Below are 26580 nucleotides of genomic sequence, written 5' to 3' on the forward strand. Positions count from 1 at the left end.
GGAAGGGAAGTGAAATCAAGTGTCATGCATGAGCTTTCCAAATGTCTGGCACAAATATCTGGTTGATGGTGGTGCTCCTTGTCTGATATTGTAAATGATGGCAGAGTAGATTTGCAAGGAAAATTAAGACTTTCTGAACATGTTAAAATTGAGGCACTAATGAGCCATTAGTGACCTAGGCTTCATGCATGAGTTTAGGACTATAGGACACCTAGATGTGAGTGTACCAAATTGTCCAGAGAATATTAAGAGAGAAGAGTCCCTAGACCAAGCCCTTTATTTCAAGATTACGTATGGATGGGGAGTGTTTGAACAAACAGACTTTAAAACGTTGCCGCCCAAGCTGTCGGAGATAAATCAGGTGAGTATAATGTACAAATTAATAGAGAGAGCTTCACAAGGCAAGAATTGAGTCTCCAGCTTCAAGGTAAAGTAAGATGAAATTGAAAACTATCCAGTGGACAGTGCAATTCCATGAGTTACTGGTGACCATAGAGCAGTATTTGTGGAATGAAGGAAAGCAGGGGGGCAGCAAAAGCTAGATATCTTCCCACCTGAGTTGTCAGCAGAAACTGTGTCTTATCTCTAGATCTGTAGTTTTTAGGAGTTTCGTAACAATAGGAAATGCATACATGTACATAATGATGGCGTCTATGTAGTTTTGAATGAGTGAGGAATCTTGAGGGCATCCATCAGCAAGTGTGCACTGATGGAGAAAGAAATGACAATGATGTGAGATCCTTAACTGAACAAACTAACTTATGTTATCTTCACCAAAGCTATCTCAATTCTCTGCCATCACTTACGCACTCTGTGGTACATCATTTTCCACTGATAGACAAGGTCCTTAGAGTCTCAATTCTAGAACCCCAATATAATATCCACATGTGGTTACATCATAACAAAGTTGTAAAGCCACTGGGTGGGGTAAGATTAATTCTATATTTTCCTTAAGAAGAATTAGAATTCCCAAATACACCGAAAGCACTAACTATATTTCTAACTACTTTAGAAGTATCATTCTGTAAAAGTAGTTTCATTATTGTTTAAGCTTGTTTTCACGTATTTGTATGCATGCATGTATATGCTTTATTAAATCTATTTCTGAGCCTGACTGTTGGGCTTTTACAAGTTGCTCTCTTTACTAGGAACAAATTTTTATTCTCACATCATATTAATGTGTGGTTTTTGTTTGTTTTCTACCCATTGTCCACACTCTTTTTTGCGCGGGTAGCTGTGACTTCAGGCACACTACCACACCTGGCTAATTTTTAAAATTTTTTTTGTAGAGAGAGAATCTCTATCCTATACTGATAGGATCTGCTATGTTGCCAGAGCTGATTTAGAACTCCTGAGCTCAAGTGATTCTCCCACCTGGGCCTCCCAAAGTGCTGGGAACACAGGTGTGAGCCACTGCACGCAGCCACATTAAACTCTTAGTCCTTAGAAACAGGCTACTTAGTTTGGTGTCGTTAGTACCATAAAACACTGTGCTTAAATCTGTTTTTGATGGAATCACAGAGCAAATTTCACATGCAGCTTCAGGTCAAACTGTTTCCACATCAGTTTACAGACTTTATTATAGCATCAATAATATTTATTTGTTTCAAAATATGTAGAACAATTAATTATAAGAACTAATTCACTGCAGTGAATGTTGAATGCTGACACTTACAAACTAAAGGGACAATTAGTTATCTGACCTTTAATAATTTACAAGTTTATCTAGGCAAAGCTTAATCGGCCATAGATTTTTTCTTTTTTTTTTTTTCTTTTTCTTTTTTAGACAGAGTCTGACTTTGTAGCCCAGGCTGGAGTGCAGTGGCGCAATCCCAGCTCACTGCAACCTCTGCCTCCCACAAGTTCAAGTGATTCTCATGTCTCCCGAGAAGGTGGGATTATAAGTGCCTGCCACCATAGCCGGCTAATTTTTGTATTTTTTTTTTTCAGTAGAGAAGGGCTTTCACCGTGTTGGCCAGGCTGGTCTCGAACTCCTGACCTCAAGTGATCCACTCGCCTCAGCCTCCCAAAGTTCTGAGATTACAGGCGTGAGTCACCGCCCCCAGATGACTTTTTTTCTTTTAGAAACAAAACCTTAGGCATATTTTTCTTTATTCGAATTTTTTGTCAAAGTTTCTGTTTTTAAATGCATCAAATATAAGTGAGTGAAAAGGATAGAAATTATCTGTACTACTAACTCTTCTATTCACCACAATGTGGGTTTCCTTATTTATTTCTTTTTCTTTTAAGTATTGTAAGCTCTTTTCAGGATGGGAGGCCTTACTGTGTTATTCTTAACTATACAGTCAGGTCCTAGAAGAGTATATGGCACCAAGTAGGTGCTTAGCAGATATTGTTGGATGAATGAACGCTGTAAATAGTTCTACTAGAATTGATTTAATCAGCCTTCTATTGTTGGATGTTGGGGTTGTTTTATTGTTTTTTCTTCTCATAAACATTTGTTCCTTCAGATAAATCACAGTCTATAATTATTTTCTCAGAACATGTCCATAAAGTAGAAACCTAGGCCAAAGAATAGCATATATTTTTTAACAACATCATCCTATAAATCTTTATTGAGTAAAATGATTGGGTTTTTAATTGGATGCATTTGTTGTTCTTCAAAATATTGACCACTTTCTGTTTTAATTAGTAATAAATTTCTATCATAATTGTTGCCATTTTTCTCCATGTTAGAAAAAACTGGAACTTTCTCTTCTGAATTGTATAATTATCTATTTTTATTAATGCTTTAAAAATGTAAGGCTTTTAAAAGACTAATTAGACATAAAAATAAAACTTTCACTTAAGGTTTATTGAACCTATACTGGTATGTCTGCAGGCAAAAATGAATGTTCAAAGTACTTTTAGGAAGTATGAAAAGTGTTTTAGCCATTTAGCCTTTACTAACATTTATTTTGATTTTAAGGTAATTTTTATATTATAGGTTACTTGCTGACTTTTTTTCTTCTCTGTTCTTTTCTGAAGTTGCATTCTTGTGTTGGGTGGGACACAGTTAAGTGTGACATGAATTTCCTTGCCCCAAGTTCTTGATTTGCCCATGAAATGAAGACTTGTGCCTCATCAGATGTCTTTTAAATTTTTTACTCTGCACATTTTATTTTAATTATCTCTGAAGGCATTTTCTGGTTCTGTAATAAGTTCTTACCTCTTGCCTATAGAGACTTTGGAAGTGATAAAAATTGATCTAAAACTGTTAAAGAAAAAAATAGTATTTTAAACCTGTTAAGTTATTGTTTAATCCTAGCCTTGTAATTGATGTGCACAGTTGTAGATGGTGGTTGATTTGCTTTATTTTGTATTCTCAATGCCATATACCATGTGTAAGCTATGTTTTTAGCCCGGTCTCATGTCTCAATTCTGAAAATGTGGAAGATGTTTATTGTAGTATTCCTATAAAAATTCATTATCATTTAATTCTTAGAAAAGTAACTCTAGAGTTGTTAAAAGTCTAAATGGCCTTTTTCTGTGTTTATCTTTACCAGTTCAAAATAGAAATGCTACTTTTAACTATTACAATTTAATGGTGTATTTGATATAAATTGGATGTTTACGATTTGAGTAAAGTACCTGCTTTCGTAGAATATTTTAGCTGAAAATAATTGGAAGGTATACCTCCCAGTGTTAAACTCTCCTATAAACATTTTCTTCTTACAAATTGGTATTTCTGAACCACTATCTCTTATTCCTGTGTTTGAGTAGATACAATTAAGTTTCATACTAAAATAAATTTTCTTCACATCATTACTAAAGCATTCAGTTATTTCAAAAATATAGTACATTACTATACTGATGAATAATGGAAGAAGTTTGTCTGTTGATTCAACATATTCAAGAGTAGGATAGTTTTTCTCCTGAATAAAACTACAAAATCAATAGTGGATTTACTTACTTGACCTCAAAGAGATAAGACATTTTGTCTATGAAATAGTTTATAGTTTTTTGTTTGTTTGTTAAACAAAAATGAAGGGAAATAAACCAATAAAGCAGAAGGCATGGATTGAGGAAGCAATCTGGGAAAGGTTGTGAAAAGAATTGCCAGAGTCTTGGTCAAGGGGAATCCTAGCAAGCCACCCTGCAGAGGTCGCAGGAGGATGGAAGAACTCTTGGGAGGAAGCTCTCTAACTGGAGGGCTATCATTTACAAAGCCATGATACTATAAACACTGAGTATTGAGTTAACAAAAAATTGTAAGACTAGTGTGTTGAGAAGTTAGAGTATGGAAAAAAGGGGAAAAGGGACAGTTTGGGATGAGGTAGGGAGGCAGATTTATTCATGGAAGCTTTTCTATACAGCAAGAATTATGAGCCATACCTTTCAGATAGTTCTGTGGGTTGGCAGCCCTCATCACCTGGCACCTTTGGCACTGCCTTGATAGCTGCCTCTCACCCAAGTTAGAGAAAGAGGATTGAAGACAGGAAGAAAGCAAGCTTATGTGCTTGATACTTTATCCTAACTAGGTATATTCTTATTTCCGCCCTTTTTACTTGAGGCACAGATACACCATCATCTGCACTTTCTGTGCCTAACTTATCTTAACAAAAAAAAAAAAAAAAGCATTCTCTAGAATAAGCCAAGGGCATTGTATTTTCTGTCGATGATAAAATGCAGATTTTTACCACTAAAAGGCAATGACTTCATTTCTAAAGGTTAAATTGAATGGTTCTCACAGCATAATTTCATATGGTTAAATTTGGGAAACTGAAAGTCATTCAGTAAGAGAACAATCTCTGAGCTTGTATAGAATTTGTATTTGATTGAGAATTGGGTATTACTTTATTCACATTAAGCTGTATCACATGATTTTATTTCAAGGTAGAAAAGAAATGTCAGTAGGCATAAGTACTTAGTAGAACTTTTTTCTTTATTTGAACAAAATGTGTCCTCTTTATGGCCTGTGAGGATGACCTCATGCTCCATCTGATGCTTTCTTTTAGCTATTGCCCAAGAGTTTAGACTTTCTTAAGCTGCTTTTGTGGAACCAGTGAGACTTTTTTTCTGTGCTTTTCTAACCCCTTGCTTTCTCATCTAAACCATTTTCTTTTTAAATTTTTTAAGTATTTTAATACACTAGTATTCAAAGTAGTGATCAAAGTAGATGATTTAAAACATAATGAATGGGTGGTTAATTTTGAACTTGATATTCTCTCCAAACTACTTACAGATTAGTTAGGGGAAAAGTTTTCTTGAGTTAAAAATTAAAATATTGTATATTCTTCCTGTGCACGTTGTTTTTATTGTGTTGTTGTATATTCTTAAAGGTATAATTTATATACAGTAAAATGTTCTCATTTTTAGCATATAATTCTGTGAGTTTTGGCAAATGTGCATTTTGAGAAACGTATATTTATGAAATCATCACCATAGTCAAGATATTAGAGCTGTTCCATTGTCCCAATTCCTCCATTCCTTTTAGAGTCAACTTCTAGTCCCTGGCAACCACTCATGTTTTTCTGTTTAACTATAGTTTAACCTTTGTCAGAATGTCATACAAATGCAATCATGTATTTGAGATTCATACGTGTTGTTGCCCATGTCTTTTTTAGCGTAGAGTAGTATTCCATTGTGTGGTGTACTATAATTTATACCCAGTTGAGGGATATTTAGGTTATTTCCAATTTTAGTGATTATGAATAACGTCCAGACCATTATCTTTGCTTTGCCTTGCTTTGTTTTTTTTAAAGAATGAGACAGGGTCTTACTCTGTCATCCAGGCTGGGAGTGCAGTGGTGCGCCATCACTGCTCACTGTAGCCTCGACCTCCCAGGCTTAAGCTATCCTCCCACATCAGCCTCCTGAGTAGATAAGACTACAGGTGTGCAGCACCATGCCCAGCTGATTTTCTTTTTTTCTTTCCTTTTTTTTTTTTTTTTTTTTTTTTTTTTGTTTTGTGAGGCAAGATCCCACTGTGATGGCCAGGCTGGTCTCTAACTCCCGGGCTCAAGCAATGTTTTTGCCTCAGGCAAAACATTACAGGCATGAGGCCACCGTGCCTGGCTCAGACCATTTTCTGAGGGTCCCTAATCTATTCCTCTAACATTATTTCACTTTATCTTAGTGAACTGCGGTGATTGTCCGAATGGTGCTTTGCATGTTTTCATTCTAAACATAGAGATGTGTCTTCTCTTCCTAAGTATTTGCCAAGTTCTGGTTTCATTTCTCAGTATTGTACACTGTGGAAAGGAAGAAATAAATGGTGGGTAGGACCAACCAAATAAAAGTGTTTGTAGATGTCTGACTTTCTTAGGGCTCCTTAAACTCTTAGATGATTTAGTTCCTTGCAAGTCTGATTGGAGAGTAATTGTTTTCTTCCATATGTTGGAGTGCTATCCTTGCACTACTTTGCCCTGTGGCTTCCTTCTTCTAGTTGGGCAAGCATACCATTCCTGCCCCCTTTGGAAACTTTGCTTAGCCAGGATATTTCTTTTAATAATTGTAATACTCTCTGTTGAGGGCATCACTGATTGGAATGATACATCCTAAGCTCAGGGCTTTCTTCCAGCTTAATGCTCCTACAGATGTCCAAATGTCCTCTTGACTCATGCTCCCAGAACTGGAGCTCAGAGCCTGGGCTGCGGTTTCTCCTATGTTCAACATGGTGCAGGCCTGAGTGAGGTGCTTTACCAACCAAGTAAACAGTGTGAGAATCTGTAAACCACAGACAACACTTAATGATTTTCCATTTTTTAAGAGACAAGGCTAGAGTGTCACCCAGGGTAGAGTGTTGTGGCATGATTATAGCTCTCGGCAGCCTCAAACTCCTGGGCTGAAGCAATCCTCTTGCCTTAGCCTCCCAAGCAGCTGGGACTACAGGCCCGCACCACCATGCTTGGCTAATTTTTAAATTTTTTGTAGAGATGGGGTATTGAACTCCTAGCCTCATGTGATACTCCCATCTCAGCCTCTCAGAGCGCTAGGATTACAGGCATGCGCCACCCTGCCCAATTATTGAAAGATAATTGATGGCCTAGCTTTAGCACCTTTTTTTTCTGTTGTAATTTTTTTGTTTGGGGGTTTGTTTTTGTCAGTGTTCTCCTCTGTGTTCACTTCATTCCTGTTAAACTTGCAATTCACTGAAGTTTACGCCCTCCCTGGTCTCTCTAGTACACATCTCACCACAAAGCATTGATAACCAGCCAGGGAAGAGCAGTTTCAAATTTGAAAGTGCTTTATGGTAACACAGGAGCTCGAGGGCATTCTCAGAGTATCCTCCCCCCGCAGGGTTCCATGTATTTCAAGAGATGATCATGCTGTATAACTGGCTCTTCATCGAATCATAAACTCATTCTGTGAATTAAAATGGCACTTGGGGCCATAGCGCCCAAGATGTGGAAAGGAGGAAGAGTGTGGAGCGATAGGTGATGGTTTTGCCTTGCTGATAGGAGATGTAGTTGTGATTTGTCTTCCATATAGCCACAAAAGTAATTCTCCTGGTCTGCACAACCCAGAAAAACATAGATAACGATGGCAGTGAATGATCACCATACACCATACACCATACACAATACACTTAAAATGAGAGAGCACATTTGCTTCAGTATCCTTAACGATTTGTTCTGATCTCCACACTCTTTTTTTTCCTGTGTCTGTCCTCTTGTTCACAAGGATTTTGCTGCTTTAGAGCACATTTGCTTCAGTATCCTTAACGATTCGTTCTGATCTCCACACTTTTTTTTTTTTCCTGTGTCTGTCCTCTTGTTCACAAGGATTTTGCTACTTTAGAGTTAAGATTGGTTAGACCCAGACAGCACTGTGCCCTGGAGTCCTTTACCCTCAGGTCAGCCCTGGTGGGACCAAGCAGTACAGAGAGCTTCATAGGAAGAAACATCCTGGGATGGGCAGTAGAGCATATGCTTGCACCTCCAGGGAGGCCCATCAGGATTGATGGGCTTCTTTCTAGCTGTTTCTCAAGTGCTGGTAGAGTATACTTCCCCAGTAATAAGTTCTGCATGTATTTGTTTGTAGTTCATTTTCCTGTGATGTTAATCAAAGATTGTGATGATGAGAACTAATTCGTGATCTTCATTATTAACAATTTCCATTTGAGTCTTGCATATGATAATCCTGAGTGGTTAATTGTTAACTAATAGGTTTAGTCTATTCCCATTTTCCCATGCTGTTTTCTGTGCTGTTATGTTTACCTCTCACCAGCCCTTTCTAGTTTCATGCCTACTATTTGGGGACTTTCATTGGAGAAATCATGGGAATCACTTTGCATACATCTAGTGCACACCGACATCCTAAACCCTGTTCCAGAATTCACAGAATTGTGATTTCTGTAGTTCAGGTCCTCTAGGAAGCAGGTGACCTGGCTGTCTGGGGTGGTGGTCTTTCAGACACTTCTATCCTGTGCCTGCTGTACAAGGATTCTGCTTCGTCTGCTCTCCCACCTACCCACCCAAATCTCCCATTCTCCCAAGCCTGGGAATTCATCATACTAAATTATTTTAAACATATATTTGTATACACAGCAAGGTACTTTATAGAGATAAGTTCCAATCTAACTGCTGAAGGGGATATCTTATAGCCATAGATAGATGTACCCACATTTGGAAGAGATGTAGCCTGACAAGCCAGAAGTCAGGGCAGAGTGAGAGTTTATAATTAAGGTGTTTTTATAACCTTTGCTTCTCTGCTTCTCTCTAAGGGTCATCCTGCCATTCTGGAGGGTCATTCAGAACCCTGTTCCTCTAAGTTTGAGATATAGATACTAACATCCTTTGAAATGAAGTCACCCCAGGCACATTTGTTGCATCATTACTTTCTCAATTTCAAGGTGCATTGAGGAGGCAGAAACATTTCTTAAAGAGATGCCATCCACAATAGCAGGTTAAATGTAGCTAATGCAATCTTAAATTAGCTTTTCTAAGAGTACAGGAAAATACTTATGTATAGTTTGCTGTAGAGCACAGGTAATGTGAAAACTACCAGTGCAACAACAACAAAAAAAGACTTCTCTTGTCAGAAATCCAGTTGCTTCCTGATTATTTACACCAGTGGAGGGGAATATTGGTGTAGATAACAGAAAACCACAACTAATTTATTTACTTGATTTCTCAAAGCTATGAGCCAACATAGTGGCAGAAAACTGGCAAATAGAATCCCAGACCTTATGTAAGGAAGCAATAGCAATGAAAACTGAGAGTGAAAGCCTTAGCATATAGATACATAAGCAGAAATATTTGATATTACCTTGAAATGAGCATTCTGTGTAACAAGTCCTGTAGTTGTTATCTCTTTAAATCTAAGGTCTTAAATCTTTATTTATATATATGGTTGTGGGTGTTTCTTTTTTTTTTTTTTGAAATGGAGTTTCACTTTTGTCACCCAGGCTTGAGTGCAATGGCATGATTGGGCTCACTGCAACCTCCGCCTCCCAGGTTCAAGCGATTCTCCTGCCTCAGCCTCCCAAGTAGCTGGGATTACAGGCACACCCTGCTATACCCAACTAATTTTTGTATTTTTAGGGTTTCACCATGTTGGCCAGGCTGGTCTCGAACTCGTGATCTCAGATGATCCTCCTGCCTCCGCGTCCCAAAGTGCTGGGATTACAGCCGTGAGCCATCGCGCCCGGCCAGGTCTTTTTTTCTTTTTTCTTTTTTTTTTTAAGAGAGAAAATCTCTGTCTCCCGGCTCTTATTAACCCTGGAAATGTGTCTAAGAGACTGAAGCACATTGCTACTTGCACTCTCTCTTTGGAAGGCAAATTACTTAACTGAATTCTGTCAATTTTATATTGTTATAATCAGAATTTCTAAAATAAATAATTTCCATAACTAAATTACCAGGGAGGATTTATAGCTACATCGCCTGAGGAAACGTGCCAGTCTTCCTAACCAGTGTTTTCATTTGAGCCACTGAAACAAATATTAAAGATTTCAAGAATGTTTGAAAAGGAACATGCCAAGCAAAAAAATGCTTGAGATGACAAGGAAAGACATACACTTTTGTGTGGCTGTGACTGAGATTTGAAAGTGCCGACATCTTTGGGTTCTTATAATCAATTTAATTGACTTTATAAGAACTTAATATTCTGTCAGCTTGGATGAAATATCCATCTTTCCACTTAGTGACTGGTCCACAGGCATATCACCTCATCCAAGCCTTCGAAATACTTGCCTCAAGAATATGGGGAACTCCATGTTCTTACCTTATAATTTTTATCTGGAAATAAACATGGCCAGTTCTGATGAGGTTTTAAAATTTGCTGTATGCCTTTGATTTTCTTTTTCTTTTTTTTTTTTTTTTTTTTTTTGTCGGAGTCTCGCTCTATCACCCAGGCTGGAGTGCAGTGGCACAATCTTGGCTCACTGCAAGCTCCGCCTCTCAGGTTCATACCATTCTCCTGCCTCAGCTTCCCAAGTAGCTGGGACTACAGGTGCCCACCACCACACCCGGCTATTTTGTTGTTGTTGTTGTTGTTGTTGTTGTTGTTGTTGTTGTTGTTGTACTTTTAGTAGAGACGGGGTTTCACCGTGTTAGCCAGGATACTCTCGATCTCCTGACCTCGTGATTTGCCTGCCTCAGCCTCCCAAAGTGCTGAGATTACAGGCATGAGCCACCACGCCCAGCCTGATTTTCATAGTTGGCTTTCACTTCTGATCTTTGCCATAATCAATGACATGTCATCCTCTTGGCTATCTTCCCATTTGTCATTTCTGGAATAGAGCTGTTGAGTTGTGCATTGAGACTTAGGAGGAGTCAGGAACATGTATTGATTTTTATGACATGGGTAGCACTAAGGTCCCTTTGAGGCTCCTTGATTATTCTCAGTCTGAGTAGGTTTCTCTCTTTATAAAGTAGGTAAGAGTTTAGCAAAAAAGGAAGAGAGGGTGCTGCAACCTCCTTGTTAGTTTAAACATGAAAGGCATGCCTGTGTGTGTGCCATTGTTATTCCTATAAGCATTTTTTCCAGATAACTACATCCAAAGGATAGTGATGAGTAGAAGTCTATTTCTGAAAAATGTAATTTGCTCTGATCTTGAGGAAAAAGACCTTCTCTTCTGAGATGTTAGGTTGCCTCATGATTTGCGATAATCAATTTGATAATTGTTGTTGACTTACTGGTTCAGCTCATGAATAGTGTCCCAGATTTAGACTAGTATGGCACAAGGATTTTAATCAAGTAGTGCTTTCTTTCCCATGGAGCATTTATCTTGTTTGACTGTTCTGGACTTCAGCCAGCTGCCAGACAGGCATTTTTCATGTGTATATGTGTAGGAGAATGTGTTGCTTAAGTGTTCAATGGGGAAGTTTCCAACCCCCTAAAGCTCATGGTTACCTTGCCTTTTACCACTGTACTGTTAGAGACACTGAGAATGGATCGCTGTCTCTCTTTTTCTCTAAGAATCCGTTTGATGGGAAGCATGAATCTTAGTTACTATGAATACTGTTTTCATCCCAGCCTACCTCACTGCTTCTGAATGAGAGGAGCCCCTTTGGCTGCTCTGAAAACTCTTGAAATACTTGATGGCTTGTTATGTTTTCATTATCTAATGTGCATTAATTTAAATAAAATAGCTCTGTTGTTAGAAGAAGAGTCAAAAAGGAAAAGCTTGGCTGGGTGCAGACTGCTTGTGTCACAGAAGTCAGGAAAGTTTGCAGAACTTGGTGTCCTCAGAGGGAGTTTTCAGTTCTGCTGGCTGGGCTGAAAACCTGAAACTCTAAAATCCAGTGACTATTCCCCTAGCATATACGATGTGATATTTTGATGCTCACTTACTCTATCACCTGTTTAATTAGCTTGAGAGACTGAAAGGATTTGAAGGCCCTTCGCATCTATGTGACTGAGTTCTGAGAGTCGAAATGTCCATGATTTGGCACTCTGGAGGATAGAGCACACAGACTTTGTGTTGATGCACCAAAAAAGGTTTTTAAACTGCTATTCCGTTTTATGTGTTTTTATTATTTCTATAATGATTCCTGCTGACATGAAGTAGTATTTGTCTCCATTGACCACATCCTGCTGTTCTAGATTTCCCTGGGTAGGAACAGTATGCCCCAGGTATCATCTCATCCCCAAAATGAACATAGAGCAGGAGTTGCTGTACTAGTGCCTGGAGAAGGCTGGCCACTTCTCAAGGTTAAGAAACTGTGAGCTCTGAATCTTACATAACCTATTTAAAGATAAACTACTTTTGGCTTCCTGGGACAGGGTTATAGGGACTATGTGAGATAGCCTAGGCGTCGCTTTTTTTTTTTTTTTTAATGAATATTAAAGGTTAAATGGAAGGTTAGTACTGGTCTTCTTACCTCAACTTTTTTTTCTTTCTTTCTTTCTTTTTTTTGAGAAAGAGTTTCGCTCTTGTTGCCCAGGTTGGAGTGCAAATGGCACGATTTCAGCTCACTGCAACCTCCACCTCCCAGGTTCAAGCGATTCTCCTGCCTCAGCCTCCCAAGTAGCTGGGATTACAGGCATGTGCCACCATGCCCGGCTAATTTTTTTCTATTTTTAGTAGAGACAGGGTTTTGCCATGTTGGCCAGGATGGTTTCAAACCCCTGACCTCAGGTGATCCACCCGCCTCAGCCTCCCAAAGTGCTGGGATTGCAGGCGTGAGCCACTGCGCCTGGCACCTCAATTTTGTGTTAAAGGAAGATGAGCTCTTCTTGCCCCAGAGAACTCTGGTGTGAAAGTCTCATTTTCCAAGCACCCTTTTAACTGAGTATTTAAGTTAATCTGGAAACTGTCGATTAACTATATTTCTTCTACTGAGGCCTCATGGGTATCATGTCTATGTCTTGGTTTCAGAAATGTCTATAAATAGGGTTATTTGCTTAGCTTCCTGCCAAACTTTTTGTCCTAGACTATAAAGAAAGAAACGTTGGGTTTTATTACTTTCCAGTTACTCTTTTCCTCTTTTCTCCATCAGGATACCCAAAAAGCAAAGCAGTTCCTGCCTTTTCTTCAGCGGGCAGGTCGTTCTGAAGCTGTGGTGGAATACGTCTTCAGTGGTTCTCGTCTCAAACTCTATTTGCCAAAGGAAACTTGCCTTATCACCTTCTTGCTTGCAGGTAAGTCTTATGTGTTACATGTTACTCTGAGCTCAGAAGTCATCCCTGGAAACCACATACCCTCCTTTCCCCCTGTGTTCTAGATAGGCCCTAGAGCCCACCAGCATGCTCTTCCTCTCTGGTTGGGATATGCAAACACAGTTTCTAGATTGGATCCTCCTGTGCCTGCAGACCCAGCACTGCACCCCCTTTCTGCTCCTCATTTCTACCAAGCACAGGATGTAGGAGTAGAGCAACTTGCAAGCACGCAGCCCTTATAGAGCTAGAGCAAAGGAAGTTCCAGACTAGGAAAATACCAGCCATGGAATTCTCAGAGTTGGCCTTCATTACCCACTTGAAACAGACTGCCCATGCTATGTTAGTTGTGGGGAGGCCTCAGAGGAGCCAAGACACTCTTCCCCTGTAGCTCCCCAAGCAGTGCCCTTTGTCTCCCTTTCATTCTTTTCAAATGCCATTAAGATCCCAGTCCTTTATGAAACCCCAGCCATGACGTTGCTTTCACACGCTCTTCCCACATCGATAGTATTTCTTGTTGTGCTAAGGTTGACGTGCTAAGGCAAAGATGCTCCTTTCTTTGCTGACTTAATGTGTGTCTTACCCTATCTTTTCTGGTAGCTTAATATTTCACAAGCCAGAAGGCTATGTATAAACTGTGCTCTTTGAGCAATTTACATTTATGCATTCAAGGAACAAACTGCTTCATTTCTTTGCTGCTGGCAAATAATAGTTATTTATTTCCAGTTGGTACTTCACAGAGACTGCAGTCTTTGAGGGAAAGCTGTCATTTTACTTCCACCACCACCCCCACCCCGCCCAGCCACCCTTGCACACACAAATATTCATTCACTTGCAAAAGACATATCCCGCCGTGGTCCCCAGATGCACATGGTCCCCACCTTGCCTTTTTTGCTAGTGTCCTGTTGTCTCAGCACTTCTTACATTGAATTACTGAATAGAATTTGCTATGGGGAAAGAGAAACGGGAGTCATGCTTGCTGCCTCCTGCCAGATCGCCTTGGCCTCCTTTTCCTAGAAGGCACAGGTAGTTTCTTGTCTGGATAAGGGTCTCCCTCAGGCCCCAACTAAATGGATTGAGTTATGAGAGATAAATCACTCCCTGAACACATGACCATGGAGCTCACTGCTGCTGCTTGGCTGTCACTTCTCATTGTGGCTCTTGTACATACTCTTATGAACTTGATCACTGCACAGCTCTGCAGGCCTTCTGAAGGGACTCATTGAAGTGTGACACCAAGCTCAGGGCAGCTACGCAAAAGAAGAGATGCAAAAAAATTCATACCTTATTGGAGGGCTGTGGTTTTATTTTTGCTAATGTGAGTTATGGTAAACTGAAAGGCAGTGTGGCAGTTGTGTGAGAGAGTCCTTTTATGCAGCCATTTGTACCTTTTTACCAAGGTTTCTATACCCATGAAGTTTCTTGGTAGTGAACTTTTGCTAGAGAGTTGGAGGCACAGGCATATCCAGGTTTATTGCACTTCTTTTTATTGTGCTTCAGATATTGCATTTTTTTTATAGATAGGAGGATTGTGACAACCTGTGTTAAGCAAGTATGTCAGTGCCATTTCTCCAGCAGCATGTGTCTATCACATTTGGTAATTTTCACATTTCAAACTTTATTATTATTATATCTGTTATGGTGATCTGTGACCAGTGATGTTTGATGTTATTATTTCAATTGTTTCGGGTCGCCATGAACCACAGTCATATAAGATGGTAAACTTAATTGATAAATGTTGTATGTGTTCTGACTGCTCCACCCATTGAATGATAAGAAAACCAAACAAAGCTTGGTGCAGTGGTGCATGCCTGTACTCCCAGCTACTCAGCAGGCTGAGCCCAGGAGTTGCAGATCAGCCTGGGCAACATAATGAGACCCTGTCTCAAAATAGAAAAGAAATTGAAGCAGCCTTATTGCTTATATGGAAAAATTTTAGTGGTCTGGATAGAAGATCAAACCAGTCACAATATTTCCTTAAGCCAAAGTCTAATCCAGAGAAAGACCTCTGGATTTGACTCTCCTCAATTCTGTGAACACTGAGAGGTAAAGAAGCTGCAGAAGAAAAATTTGAAGCTGTTAGAGGTTGGTTCATGAGGTTTAAGGAGAGAAGCCATCTTCATAACATAAAAGTACAGGGTGAAGCAGCAAGTGCTGATGTAGAAGCTGCAACAAGTTATTCAGAAGATCCAGCTAAGATCACTGGTGAAGGTGGCTACACCAAACACCAGATTTTCAGTGTAGATGAAACAGCCTTCTACTGGAAGAAGATGCCATTCCAGGATTTTGGTAGCTAGAGAGAAGTCAGTGCCTGCCTTCTGAGTTTCAAAAGACAGGTTGACTCTGTTGTTAAGACCTTATGCAGCTGGTGACTTTAAGTTAAAGCCATTGCTCATTGACCATTCCAAAAAACCTAAGGCTCTTAAGAATGATGCTAAATCTACTCTGCCTGTGCTCTGTAAAAGGAACAGCAAAGCCTGTATGACGGCACATCTGGTGACAGCCTGGTTTATGGAATATTTTAAGCCCTTTGTTGAGACCTACTGCTCAGAAAAAAAAAGATTTTTTTGCAAAATATTACTGCTCATTCACAGTTCTGCAGCTAGCTGGTCACCCAAGAGCTCTGAAAGAGTTGTACAAGAAGATTGTACATGCCTGCTAACATAGCATTCATTCTGCAACCCATGTATCAAGGAGTAATTTTGATTTTCAAACCTTACTATTTAAGAAATATGTTTTGTAAGCCTAAAGCTGCCATAAATAGTGATTCTTCTGATGGATCTGGGAAGCAAATTGAAAACTTTCTGGAATGGATTCACCACTTTAAATGCCATTGAGAACATTTGTGATTCATGGGAGGAGGTTGAAACAGCAACCAGCATAAACAGGGATTTGAAGGAAGTTGATTCCAAGCCTCCTGGTTGACTTTGAAGAGTTCAAGACTTCAATGGAGGAAGTAACTGCAGATATGATAGAAATAGCAAAAGAACTAGAATTAGAAGTAGAGCCTGGGGATAAAACTGAGTTACTGAAATCTCATGAAAAGAATTTGAACAGATGAAGAGTTGCATCTTATAAATGAGCAGAGAAAGTTATTTCATGAAATGGAATCTAGTCCCGGCAAAGATGCTGTGAACATTGTAGAAATGACAACAAAGGATTCAGAATATTACCTAAACTTGATGAAACAGCATCAGGGTTTGAGAGAATGGACTCTAATTTTGAAAGAAGTTCTACAGTGAATGAAATGCTATCCCACAGCATTCCATGCTACAGAGAAATACTTTGTGAAAGGAAGAGCCAGTTGATGGAACAAACCTCATTGTTTTTTTTGCCACAGCCACCACCTCCATCAGCAACCACCACCCTGATCAGTCAGCAGCCACAAACATGGAAGCAAGACCCTCCAGCAGCAAAAAGATTATGACGCACTGAAGGCTCAGATGATCATTAGCATTTTTTAACAATAAAGTGCTTTTATTAAACTACAGTATAGGGTGAACACTTTTATATGCCCTGGGAAACTAAAAATTTGTGTGACTTGCTGTATTGCAATATTCACTTCATTGCAGTGGTCTGGAACTAAACTTGCAGTATCTCTGAGGTATGCCTGTATATATTCATCTCATCCTCTGCTCTGTAGCATCTCATCTTCTGCTCTGAGAAAGAAAAGCATCCTTTTGGCAATGTAGAGCTTTATCCCAGAGGTGAAAAAGAGAAACAGTATTATTCTTCCTGGGAAACATGGCCACAAATGTATAGGGGAAAGAGAACATTGAAGTTTTGTCTTTTAAGCTCTAAACTACCTGAATGGAGCCGGCTCAGAGCACAGACCATCTTGGCTGGAGTTTTCCTGCAGAATTCTTCTAGTTTTACGTTGCTTAGACACAAGCAGTCTGATCACTCGACTCTGCATCAGCCAGTTCCTGTGTGTATTTGGCATTATTTTAAGCTTAGCAATTCAAAAGGCATTGCCTGAGTTAACTTACATTGTGAAAGATAGATTACACAGAAGCAAATACGTGATAAAAATATAAGCCTTTTACATTTTTCTCCTGCCATAGTGTGTGCTGTTATATTATGCATCTTTTGGTTTCTTCAGAAACCTGGCAAGAATACAGGACAGGGAAAAGTCTTAAGAGAAAGCAGATCTCAGTTTGCATCATGGCTCTACTGTGTATAAGCAGGTGACTTTAACAAGGTTATTTACCCTCTTCAAGCCTCAGTTTACACATCAATTATAACTGGGAATTGTTTCCTGCCTCATGATTGTCGCAGTTTAATGAGTTGACTCTGAAACAAGCCCATTATTAAGCAGATCATCAATAAATATGATCCTTCCCCTTGCAAAGAGTTAGTGTTTTTATAACTAGAGTTTACCTTGCCCCTCAATTTGGAGTGGCATGATTTTGCAGCATGTGTGCACATAGCTATGGCTCTACCATAGAAATTGTGACCTACCCATTACTGGAAATAAATCAAGAAAAGGAGCTATGCCAGCCTTCTTCTGACTAAGCTTGCTGGAAGGAAGTCTCCTGGCTTTTCCCTCTGAGACTTTGGAGCAAGGAACTCTGCACTGTCCTAAAACCCCATCCCAAAGAATACACAAGTAAGACACAGTCCTAGGTATCAGGAAACACCCAAGGGAATACAGACATGTAAACAAAATGTAAAGTTGAGTACTAGATGAGAGAATAGAATTATGGACAAGGTCTAGAAGTAGCACTGAGGAGGGAATGATTATTTCTTTAGGTGGACATCAGAGAACACCTCCCTAGGTGCTGGTATCTTGAGCTGTGTTTTGAAGTACATATGAGTTTACTGTGTTGGGGGAGGGGAGTAGGAGGAGATGCACATTCTAGCTAGAGACAGCAGCGTGTGCAGAGTTGTAGAGGTATGAATATCTGCATGGATCTGGGCAACCACATAGCCCTTGTTACTGGTGGAGTATAAAGAGTGAGGAGGGTAGAGTGTGGGGTCAGGCTGACAGCTCAGACACGAGCTAGTCCTTCTCTTTCAGATTATGCAGTGGACCCTCAGAGTCACTGGAAGGTATTAAGCAAGGGGGCAGCATGCTCAGACTCGGGTTAAGTAAATTCATTTTGGTGGATGCATTGAAATAAATGAGGCGCAAGAATCTGGGAGAGCAATTAAGAGGCAAGAGAATAGTAGAGGTCTGAAATCTGGGGAGAAAACTGGATAGATTTGGAAAAGTAGGAGGTAGACTTGAAATTCGGGGAATGCCTGGTCTCTTTTTGGTCAGGAGTGGGGGGTGGTGTTGAGTGGAGGGGAGAAAATGAAAGCATCCTAGGTTTGAGCAATCTGGTAGATTGAGATGTCCACAATTAAGAGCAACACAAAAGTAAGAATAGGTTTTAGGAATAGGTTGTTCGTTTGGTTTTGGAATATCCATGAGAATGTTCAAGCTCAGCAGAGGAGCCTACGCAAGTATTCAGGTCAGGGAGCCATCAGCATAGAGGCAGTAATTAAAACTGTTACAGTGCCTAGAGGACAGGTTTACAAGGAGTAAGCACCCTGGAAGACACCAACCTGCATGGAGCGGGCTGAGTGTTCATATATGGGCAGAGAAGATACGGTCAGAGCAGTAAGACAGTCATGAGATAGCATTCTTCTGGAAGCCAAGGGAGTGAAGAATTCCCAGGCACCAGCAGTGTCAGAGTTTACATAAAACATCAAGTATATAAAAACTGTAAAGGGCTTTTATGCTGTTTATCAACTAGTAAGTCACAGGTAACCTCTCGGTACAGTTTCATCAGAGTTGAGTTGATTAAAGGTAGATTACAGGTGACTGGGAAGTAAAAGTGGGAAGTAAGAAACAGACTTAGTAAGTACAGATTGCACTTCCCTGATATCTAACAGAGAATGGAAAAGTAGTGCAGAAAGTAAAAGCCAAAGGGTGAAGGTAACATTCCGAGGATGTCAGCATCTTGTGCGCTTTTAGAACTGTAATTCTTATTCAAGAATCAAGAAGGTATGGATAGCTGAAAAGGCTATTCAGTACACCTATTGTTTTCATAATATAAATTTTAGAATGTAAAACTCAACAAAATATTGGCAAATGAGGTTATAAAAAAAGATAGAGTGAGAGATTATCCTGGGGAACATGAGGTTTGAAATATTGAGAAGCACTCGTCTGAATTCTGAAGAGAAGGAATCAGGAAAGGCTGCACAGGGATAATGAATGGAGCAGTGACCTAGAAGAAGCAGAAGGGATGAGATGCATGGAGAACGTGGTTTGAGGGAGTAGGCTTGGAGAGAGAAAGATCCCTTGGTCTTTTAAAACTACCTACAAAGCTGAAAGTGAGTAGGCATGCTATTCATGTTGTGGGATTGTTCGCCTGGGCAGCGATTGTCCTGCTAGAGCTTTGCAGATATCTGCCGTATGCACCCTCCATTATGTAAGTGTGGCATTCTGCTGGAAATGTCTCTTTGCAGTAAGGAGGGGGTTTGGGTTGTGATTCTCAAGGGGAAAGTCAAGATAATTATTGGGAGCAGTCCCTTATGTGCTGCTCTCATTAATCCCAGCCTTTTGGAGAGCCTTCTGTACTTCAAGGTGGGGTGGACACTTTCCATTTTTATGTGGCCTTTTTTCAGGCAGACGGCCCCACAGCTTGATAGGGAGTGGCATTTGGCCCAAGCCAGCTGGCTGTTCTGTCACGGTTCCTGCACCCCTGTATGTAGAATGATCGCTTGGTCAGATGGGATAGCAGGTGGGGCTAGAGAAGTCAGCTGTAGCCAACAGGTCAGTGCCTCCTGAACGCTCTTGCCCTCTAGTCCTTTAAGCACCTGCCTTAGGCTTGGCTGGTGAGCAGGTGACCTTACAGCATCAGAACTGAGACTGTTCAAGGTCTCTCTGCCTGCTGCTGTGGCCTCCTCCTAAGCGTGCTGATTTCAGTCTCGGAGGCAGTCACAGACACTTCTTGTCCATAGTTAGCAAGGAAGCCAAGATCCCTGGGCAGCCTGCATTTGTTAAAAAGCATCCTTTTTCCTCATCTGGCCTTTAGTGAGCCCCACACGTTTCCTTCCATGAGAGCAAAAGTGGTTCACGCAGTTTTTATTTTCACTTGTCATGTGTGTCCCATTTTACTTTAGTATTTTGTCTAGGGGGAGATTGAGTCACATATTTGGAAATTATTTGGCTCTCAAGTCATGCTTTTATTTTTTACTTTCTTTTTCTTTTTTCTCTTGTTTCTTTTCTTGGAGACAGGGTCTTACTCTGTTGCCCAGGCTACAGTGCAGTGGCCCCATCATAGCTCACTGTAATCTCGAACTCCTGGGCTCAAGTAATCCTCCCTCAGATCCTGAGTATCTGAGACAGCAGGTGCATGCCACCACACCTGGCTAATATTGTTTTATTTTTTGTAGAGACAGGGTCTCAACTGTGTTGCCCAGGCTGGTCTTAGGGTCCTGGCCTCAAGCAGTCCTCTTGCCTTAGTCTCCCAAAGTGCTAGGATTATAAGCATGAACCATGACACATGGCCTCACATTTTTACCTAAAAGCCCCCAGTGGGTGTGGAGTATTTGTCTTATTACTATGAACTTTATATTGAGTGTCCTTATTGTAATTCCCTTATTAGATCTTAGGTATCAGGGTCATGCTGCAGGCACAGTTCAGGAAGTGGCCCTGTTGGATGAGCATAGCAGGTATCAAGGCATGGTGCCTGTAAACCAAATACTTTTCTCCTGAATTGGAAGAGAATAATAATTTGAGATTTCAGTGCAAAGTGATCTAAGGAGCCTTATATCAGATATTTGGAGTCTTCTGTCAACTCACTGAGTGAGTCCACCATGCCGTGTTTGCATTTCCTTAGTGTTAAAGGTGGTACCGCAGTAAGTTTGAGGAATTACAGGGTGAGGCAGGCAGGAAATGGATGCCAGTCACCTTGCATGGAACTCATAGTACAAACCATCTAGAAGGCAGCAGCCACTTGGCAGGGAGTTCCCATGTGGATCACAGCAGGTGACTTATAATTAACCAGTTACCTATTCATATGAAATAAGACAAGAAAATGAGACTTCCCTTTTCCTGCCCTTTAGCATTTTTCTTTCCCTCCCCCTTCCTCTCTTTCCGTCTCCCAACCCTTCTCCCTTCTCCTCTCCCTCTCCCTCCCCCTGTCCCTTCTCCTCTCTCTCTCCCTCTCCCTCCCTTTCTGGAGCTGGATTATGACAAAGGAGGCATTGAGAAAAGTTCTAAGTGTCTAGGATTTGATAAATGGTGGTGGGCTTGTGCATGGTGAACTAAAGGTTTGGCTGTGTGTCCTTTCACCCTGAATGCCTTTGAATGAAGTTCCTCATTTCCTTCTTTTCCTTTAAGATCTCTTCTCTAGCCAATCCTCATTGGAATATCAACTGCCTGTTTCAATAGACCAAAAACTTCTAATGAGAGGAGGGAAGGGAAGGTGAACAGGAATATCCTTCTCATCTCCTGGTCCCAGGAATGGTGGATCCCCATTGATTACCAGTGCCTAACTAAATTACACAATTAAAGCCAATGTATGTTTAAGTGAGAAATCCCATTCTGCTATCACAGAGGTGCTAATGAATCAGGCTGTTATTGTGGTTGTGTTTGCTAGGCTTCTATCCTTAATTAAGCAATTACAGGGTCTGCTGATACTTATGAATTCCTTTCAGATGCTTTAATTGAATTGCAACTTAATGGATATTTGTAAAGTGGGGTATTCTTTCTCTTGGGATATCCCAGTTTGATTCTGTCTCCATTGCCTACTTTCTGTTGGGTCCCATTACTAGAAATGGGCAGCTTAACATGAGACTTTCCTGGAGCTGCTCTAGTTCTTTACTTTTAAAGATATCATTATAGGAATTATAAGAATTATGTTCATGTCCGGGGATCCTGGAGAGTCACTTACAGGAAAGAATTAACACAATGAACAGATTTGGGTAGTGTTTTTTAATGAGTACAAGATTTTTACAAGCACAGATTAAGAAAAGTAGTCTTCAATAGATAAATTTTGGATGATACATAAATTAGTAGGATAACTTCTCCCTCGAATATCTTTTAGTCTAGTTATGTAGATGGCCATACAAATAATGTAAACAAGGAAATATGAAAGAGCAGTTATCAAAAGCATAGGCCACCTAGTATGAGAATACAGAGCAAATAACAATTGTTGAATGGAAAAGTTTTCCTCAGGGCGATGGCATTTGAGTTTCCGAGAAGATCTGCTACATTTTCTTTGGGCAGACTGGGTTTGATTCATCTAGGCAGAAGAAGTTGGCCTGTATCAGATCTCAGGAAGAGTTGCCTAAAAGAAATGGACATATTAATCAATCATTTTTCTCTCCGCTTTTGTATTGGTGTGTAAATCTCCCTCTTAGCTCTTCTGCTATTGAGCCTTCACTGCTCCACCTTCAGCTCTCCGTCTATGCAGGCACACTGTCACCCACTGGTCATGTGAATGAAACCTCCAATTACACCAGGATTATTTTCATCTTTACACCATGAATCATCCCCAGAATGAGCCTCATCATACTTGTGGGTCATTCAATTACATGGTTATTTAATAATTTTTTTTTATATTCAGTGGGCACAATGCTAGGAATACAGAAATGGATGATACAGTTCCAGCCTTTGAGCAAAGTAATTGTGTCTACTGGAGTAAAGAATGTATTGACATGAAGAAAAAAATATTTTAAAAGCATAAGGGTAAGCAAAACATGGCTTAAATACTATACAAATGAGAACAGCTCAGATTTTATAAAACAATAAGAGTAAATATGTAACTGCTGTCAAAAAGGCTGTTTCAAAACTCGGAAATACAGAACGCAGAGAGGAGTGGAGCCAGGTACTGACCCAGCCCAAGTCATTGCATTCCTGGTGGTACGGTGTACCATCTGAGGACCATCCTTTTAGGAAGGACATCAGGAAACTGCAGGTGGTCAGATCAGAGGAGGATGAACAAAGATGCTAAGAGCCTCAGCATGCCAATACCTGAAGATTGGGAGTAGGAATTAAAAGACAGACTTCCATGACATAATCTAGTGTTTCAGGGTAAAAGAGAGAGAAACATGATTTGTTCAGTACCCATTCCAGAGTAATAAATAAAGTCATCACTAAAAATAAGATTTGTTTGGCCTGGTTTAATGGCAGTCACAGACCTTGGAGCTAAAACACTTAAAGATGAATTCTTGCCCTCCTGCTTCCTAATTAATTATTTCCGTCAGACTGGCCTGCTTATCTTGGTGTGATGCTGGTGACCTGGAGGTGAGGGAGACAGCAAGGCCGATGTGGCATTTATGTGCCAGCCTATCTAGGGCCTCCTATAACTAGCAAAAGATAGTCCTAGTGGTGTCATCGCCTTCTATGGAGTCAGACTGTGGAGGATGGTGTGGCCTCCTGATTGGGGTGTTCAGCCCTTACCATCTACTGGGTTTTATGTGCCAAGAAAAGATAGATGTTGATTTACCCTTGCTGTTAGATGATAGGCCTGTGGATTAGCTTTGGATGGGTAGGTCAGTGAGGAGTTTCCTTCCTCCTGAATTCTCTGACTAGTGTTTCTACTCTTCTACTCTAAAGCGTTCTATTGTGCTTTTTACTCTTATGCTTTCATGTTTTAATACTGATGAGACAAGGGGAGAAAACATCCTGGATAGAAAATGAGGCCTGTCCTATGCAGAGCTAATGAGGCCAGTGGAGTAGTAGAGAAGGTCAGTCCTGTGAGCTTTTCCCTAGGTGTTCCTTTTCGGGCCCTTCTCCTTCCCTCCTACTTTAAAGCGCGTTCTGTCTGAGTCTATGCAGGGTTGTCTGGCTTGCCTTCCACCTGGTGGGCACTGGGGGATGGAATGGGAAACTTCCAGAAATCTGATGGCTTTTCTCTGTTGGATTATTTCCAAAAACAGCACCTGTCTCGTTGGTTGTGCCTAAATGCCTCAGTTCTAAGTCCCTTCTTGTGGCTTTCCCAGAGGAATACATTTCAGTGTAGATTATTCAACACTATCTTGTCAACCTGTGGGCATTTCCCAGCAGCCACTTAGTAGTAATGTTGACAAGCTACTGTGCTACTCACCAGAACTCCAGCCCTGTGGGGGAGTCCATTTGGTCAGACTAATAGTAGAAAATGGCAGGACCTGGATGCAGGAGAGGGAGTGTAAATGGTTTGGTAATTTGAAATTAAAGGTTAATGCTTTGAAATCTGGTAATGGGCAGCGCCAGGGTGAACAGTGCACACTGCTGTAAGACTTAATCCTGGTTGCTATGGAAACTACCTCACAAATCTCCCACCCCTTTCAACCAGATTTGACTGGGTTTAAAAAATAAATAAATAAAACCATTCTTCATCATTGAAAAGCTGTTTGCCCCCTTCCCCAAACTCCAGGTCATTGCTCACCTTGAGTTTCTTTCAAAAGTTTTTCTGAGGCTTCCCCAGTCAGATGGGCTGGATCTGTTAGAGTTTGGGCCTGGCTCTTTGTGTGGAATTTGAATAAATAGCATTAACATGGGAATTAGAAGACACTTAAGTGTCCAATGTGGGCAGCATGTGCAAGCTTGCTCTCCTGCTGGCCTTGAGGAGGCGTCATAGTTTCAGTCCTGGCACTGGACAGGGCCACTGACCACAGAATGCACTTCCTCATTCCCCATGTATGGGGGGCTCTGAGGAAGCCCAAGGAGCTGCTCTTCGTCTCAGTGCTGTGGAGTGTTCCCAGATTCTGCTGCAGGGCTGCCAAGCACTGGCCTATGAGGAGCAAGAACAATCCACAGAAGTTCGTTTCATGTTTGGAAGGCATCTGAGACACAACTGCATTCTCTCCGTCATTTTATTTCATCATTAGAGCTTTTTCCAATTTACTTAAATGACCCTCTTAATCTAGACCTTGTAAGTTTTTGGGCTTTTTTTAACCAAAGCTTCTTCACCCTTTGCCTATGATGAAGTAAATGAGATCTACATCTCATTTGGCTCCCTGCAAGATTAGCTTATAGGCTTCTAAAGTAGGCTTTGTAGAAAACTTTCTATTCAAGCTTTCTGGATTCCCTGTAGTTTTTCCTTAATATACTTATTATACTCTGTAATGCTGTTACAATAGCATTCCTCAGTAAACCCTCGTAACTCCCATGCTTACCTTTACTATGAGTAGGAAAATATTTAAATCCACTGGTTAGTCTGCGGCTGGTGGAGAAGTTCCCATTTCCCTGCCCTTGTGTGCCTCCTTTTCCTGAGCTTGTACATCTGCTAGTGATTTTTCTAGGGTTAATTTGGGTGTTTTTATTTTTAAATTGGAACATGGTGTCTGTCTCTTCTCTGTGTGTGTTTTGGATGCAGCCCCTGTGCTAGGCATGCGGTTATTAACTCCACTGATATACCAGTTCGCTCATTAGCATTTGCATTTTAAATTACAAGCTAGAGCAGACGACATTTATGCTATATTTGTACCATTGCCTTCTTCATGAATGATGTCGTATGTGCAGGGAATGCAGAAATAACTCTTCTAAGGCCCTGATGTATTTTAGTCTCTTTTTTAGCAAACTGCTATTTCTTTTTTACTCTTGATTCTTATTGTTTGATAGGGAGTTTTTTTTTTTTTTTTTTTTTTTAAATTTTCCAAGTTTAGACCTATTTGTGAGTGCTACTGATTGGGAAGTGCTAACGACAGACCAGCCCTTCATATCAAAATAGGCATATTGCGTAGAGTGGCCATTTTTCCCTTTCACGTGGTGCTCCTTGTAAGCAGCCTGCCTTGATTTGAGAGGAGGGAGTTTTTTCCTCCACAGTTTGGTGGGTGGGAAGACATGGTAACAGTTACTTGTTCTTGCTAGTATTCTTGCTCACATCCCTCTTTTTTATAGTTGACTAGTCAGTGGTTATTTAACACCTGTTAATTACTTGACACTGCAAGGGGAAAAAAGGAAATAGTGTATGCCTTCAAGGGTCTTATTTTTGACAAGCATTTATATTGCACTACAGTACAGCATATACTTAAATATTAATATTGAGTGTAAAATACCAAGTTAGAGGTGGGTCTTTTAAGTGAGATTTGCCAGGAGCAAAGGTCTCGTGGAGCAGCCGTTGCTCTTGCCAGATGGTACAATAGCTTCAGCATCTGCATCTCAAGAACTGAATCAGAAATGCACAGTCATAGATCATGGATCTGTGACTGAAGCCTTCCTAGGCTTGCCTCATTGTGCCTAACATAGTGTCTGGTTTCTAGCAGCAGGATGAGGGCAGAAAGCGAGCTCTGGTAGATAGGTCTGTGTTTGTGCCATTTTGCTTTCCTCTGTGAGCTCTAATTTTGGTTCTCTGAGTTCTGTTGCAGAGTTTCTTCCTGTTGGTGAATGCTAACTTTTAAAACATCACATGAAAAATACAGGGAAGTCATACTGGAGGTAAATGTGCATTGTTGTTAGGCAAGCACAAATTCTGCAGTTGATAGAAACTATTTTTATTTCCCCACTTTCTCCCTAAAGGTTTTCTCTGATATAATCTTCATTCTTCTAATAGCTGTTGGAATAACCAAGACACGAAGAGTTGCATTTGATGCTGATAATCCAAGTACAGATGA

The 26580-nt window shown here is 40.5% G+C and overlaps 1 protein-coding gene across 2 annotated transcripts in view, besides 1 other annotated feature; it reads left to right on the top strand.

Annotated features, from left to right (window-relative positions):
- SND1 (staphylococcal nuclease and tudor domain containing 1) overlaps nt 1-26580 on the top strand; it is a 440400-nt gene that overhangs the window by 264104 nt on the left and 149716 nt on the right. For both annotated transcript variants that reach the window (NM_014390.4, XM_017011987.3), the window contains exon 15: nt 12891-13032. In NM_014390.4, coding sequence (NP_055205.2) covers nt 12891-13032 — 142 coding nt within the window. The remainder of the gene's footprint in view (nt 1-12890; nt 13033-26580) is intronic.
- Nucleotides 13925-14014: an enhancer, noted in NCBI's record as "active region_26590". NCBI's record gives its function as "activates an Ori minimal core promoter by ATAC-STARR-seq in GM12878 lymphoblastoid cells {active_cell/tissue: GM12878}" and the evidence as "EXISTENCE:reporter gene assay evidence [ECO:0000049][PMID:35858748]".

Source organism: Homo sapiens, chromosome 7 (assembly GCF_000001405.40).
Source record: "Homo sapiens chromosome 7, GRCh38.p14 Primary Assembly".
Classification (NCBI taxonomy): domain Eukaryota; kingdom Metazoa; phylum Chordata; class Mammalia; order Primates; family Hominidae; genus Homo; species Homo sapiens.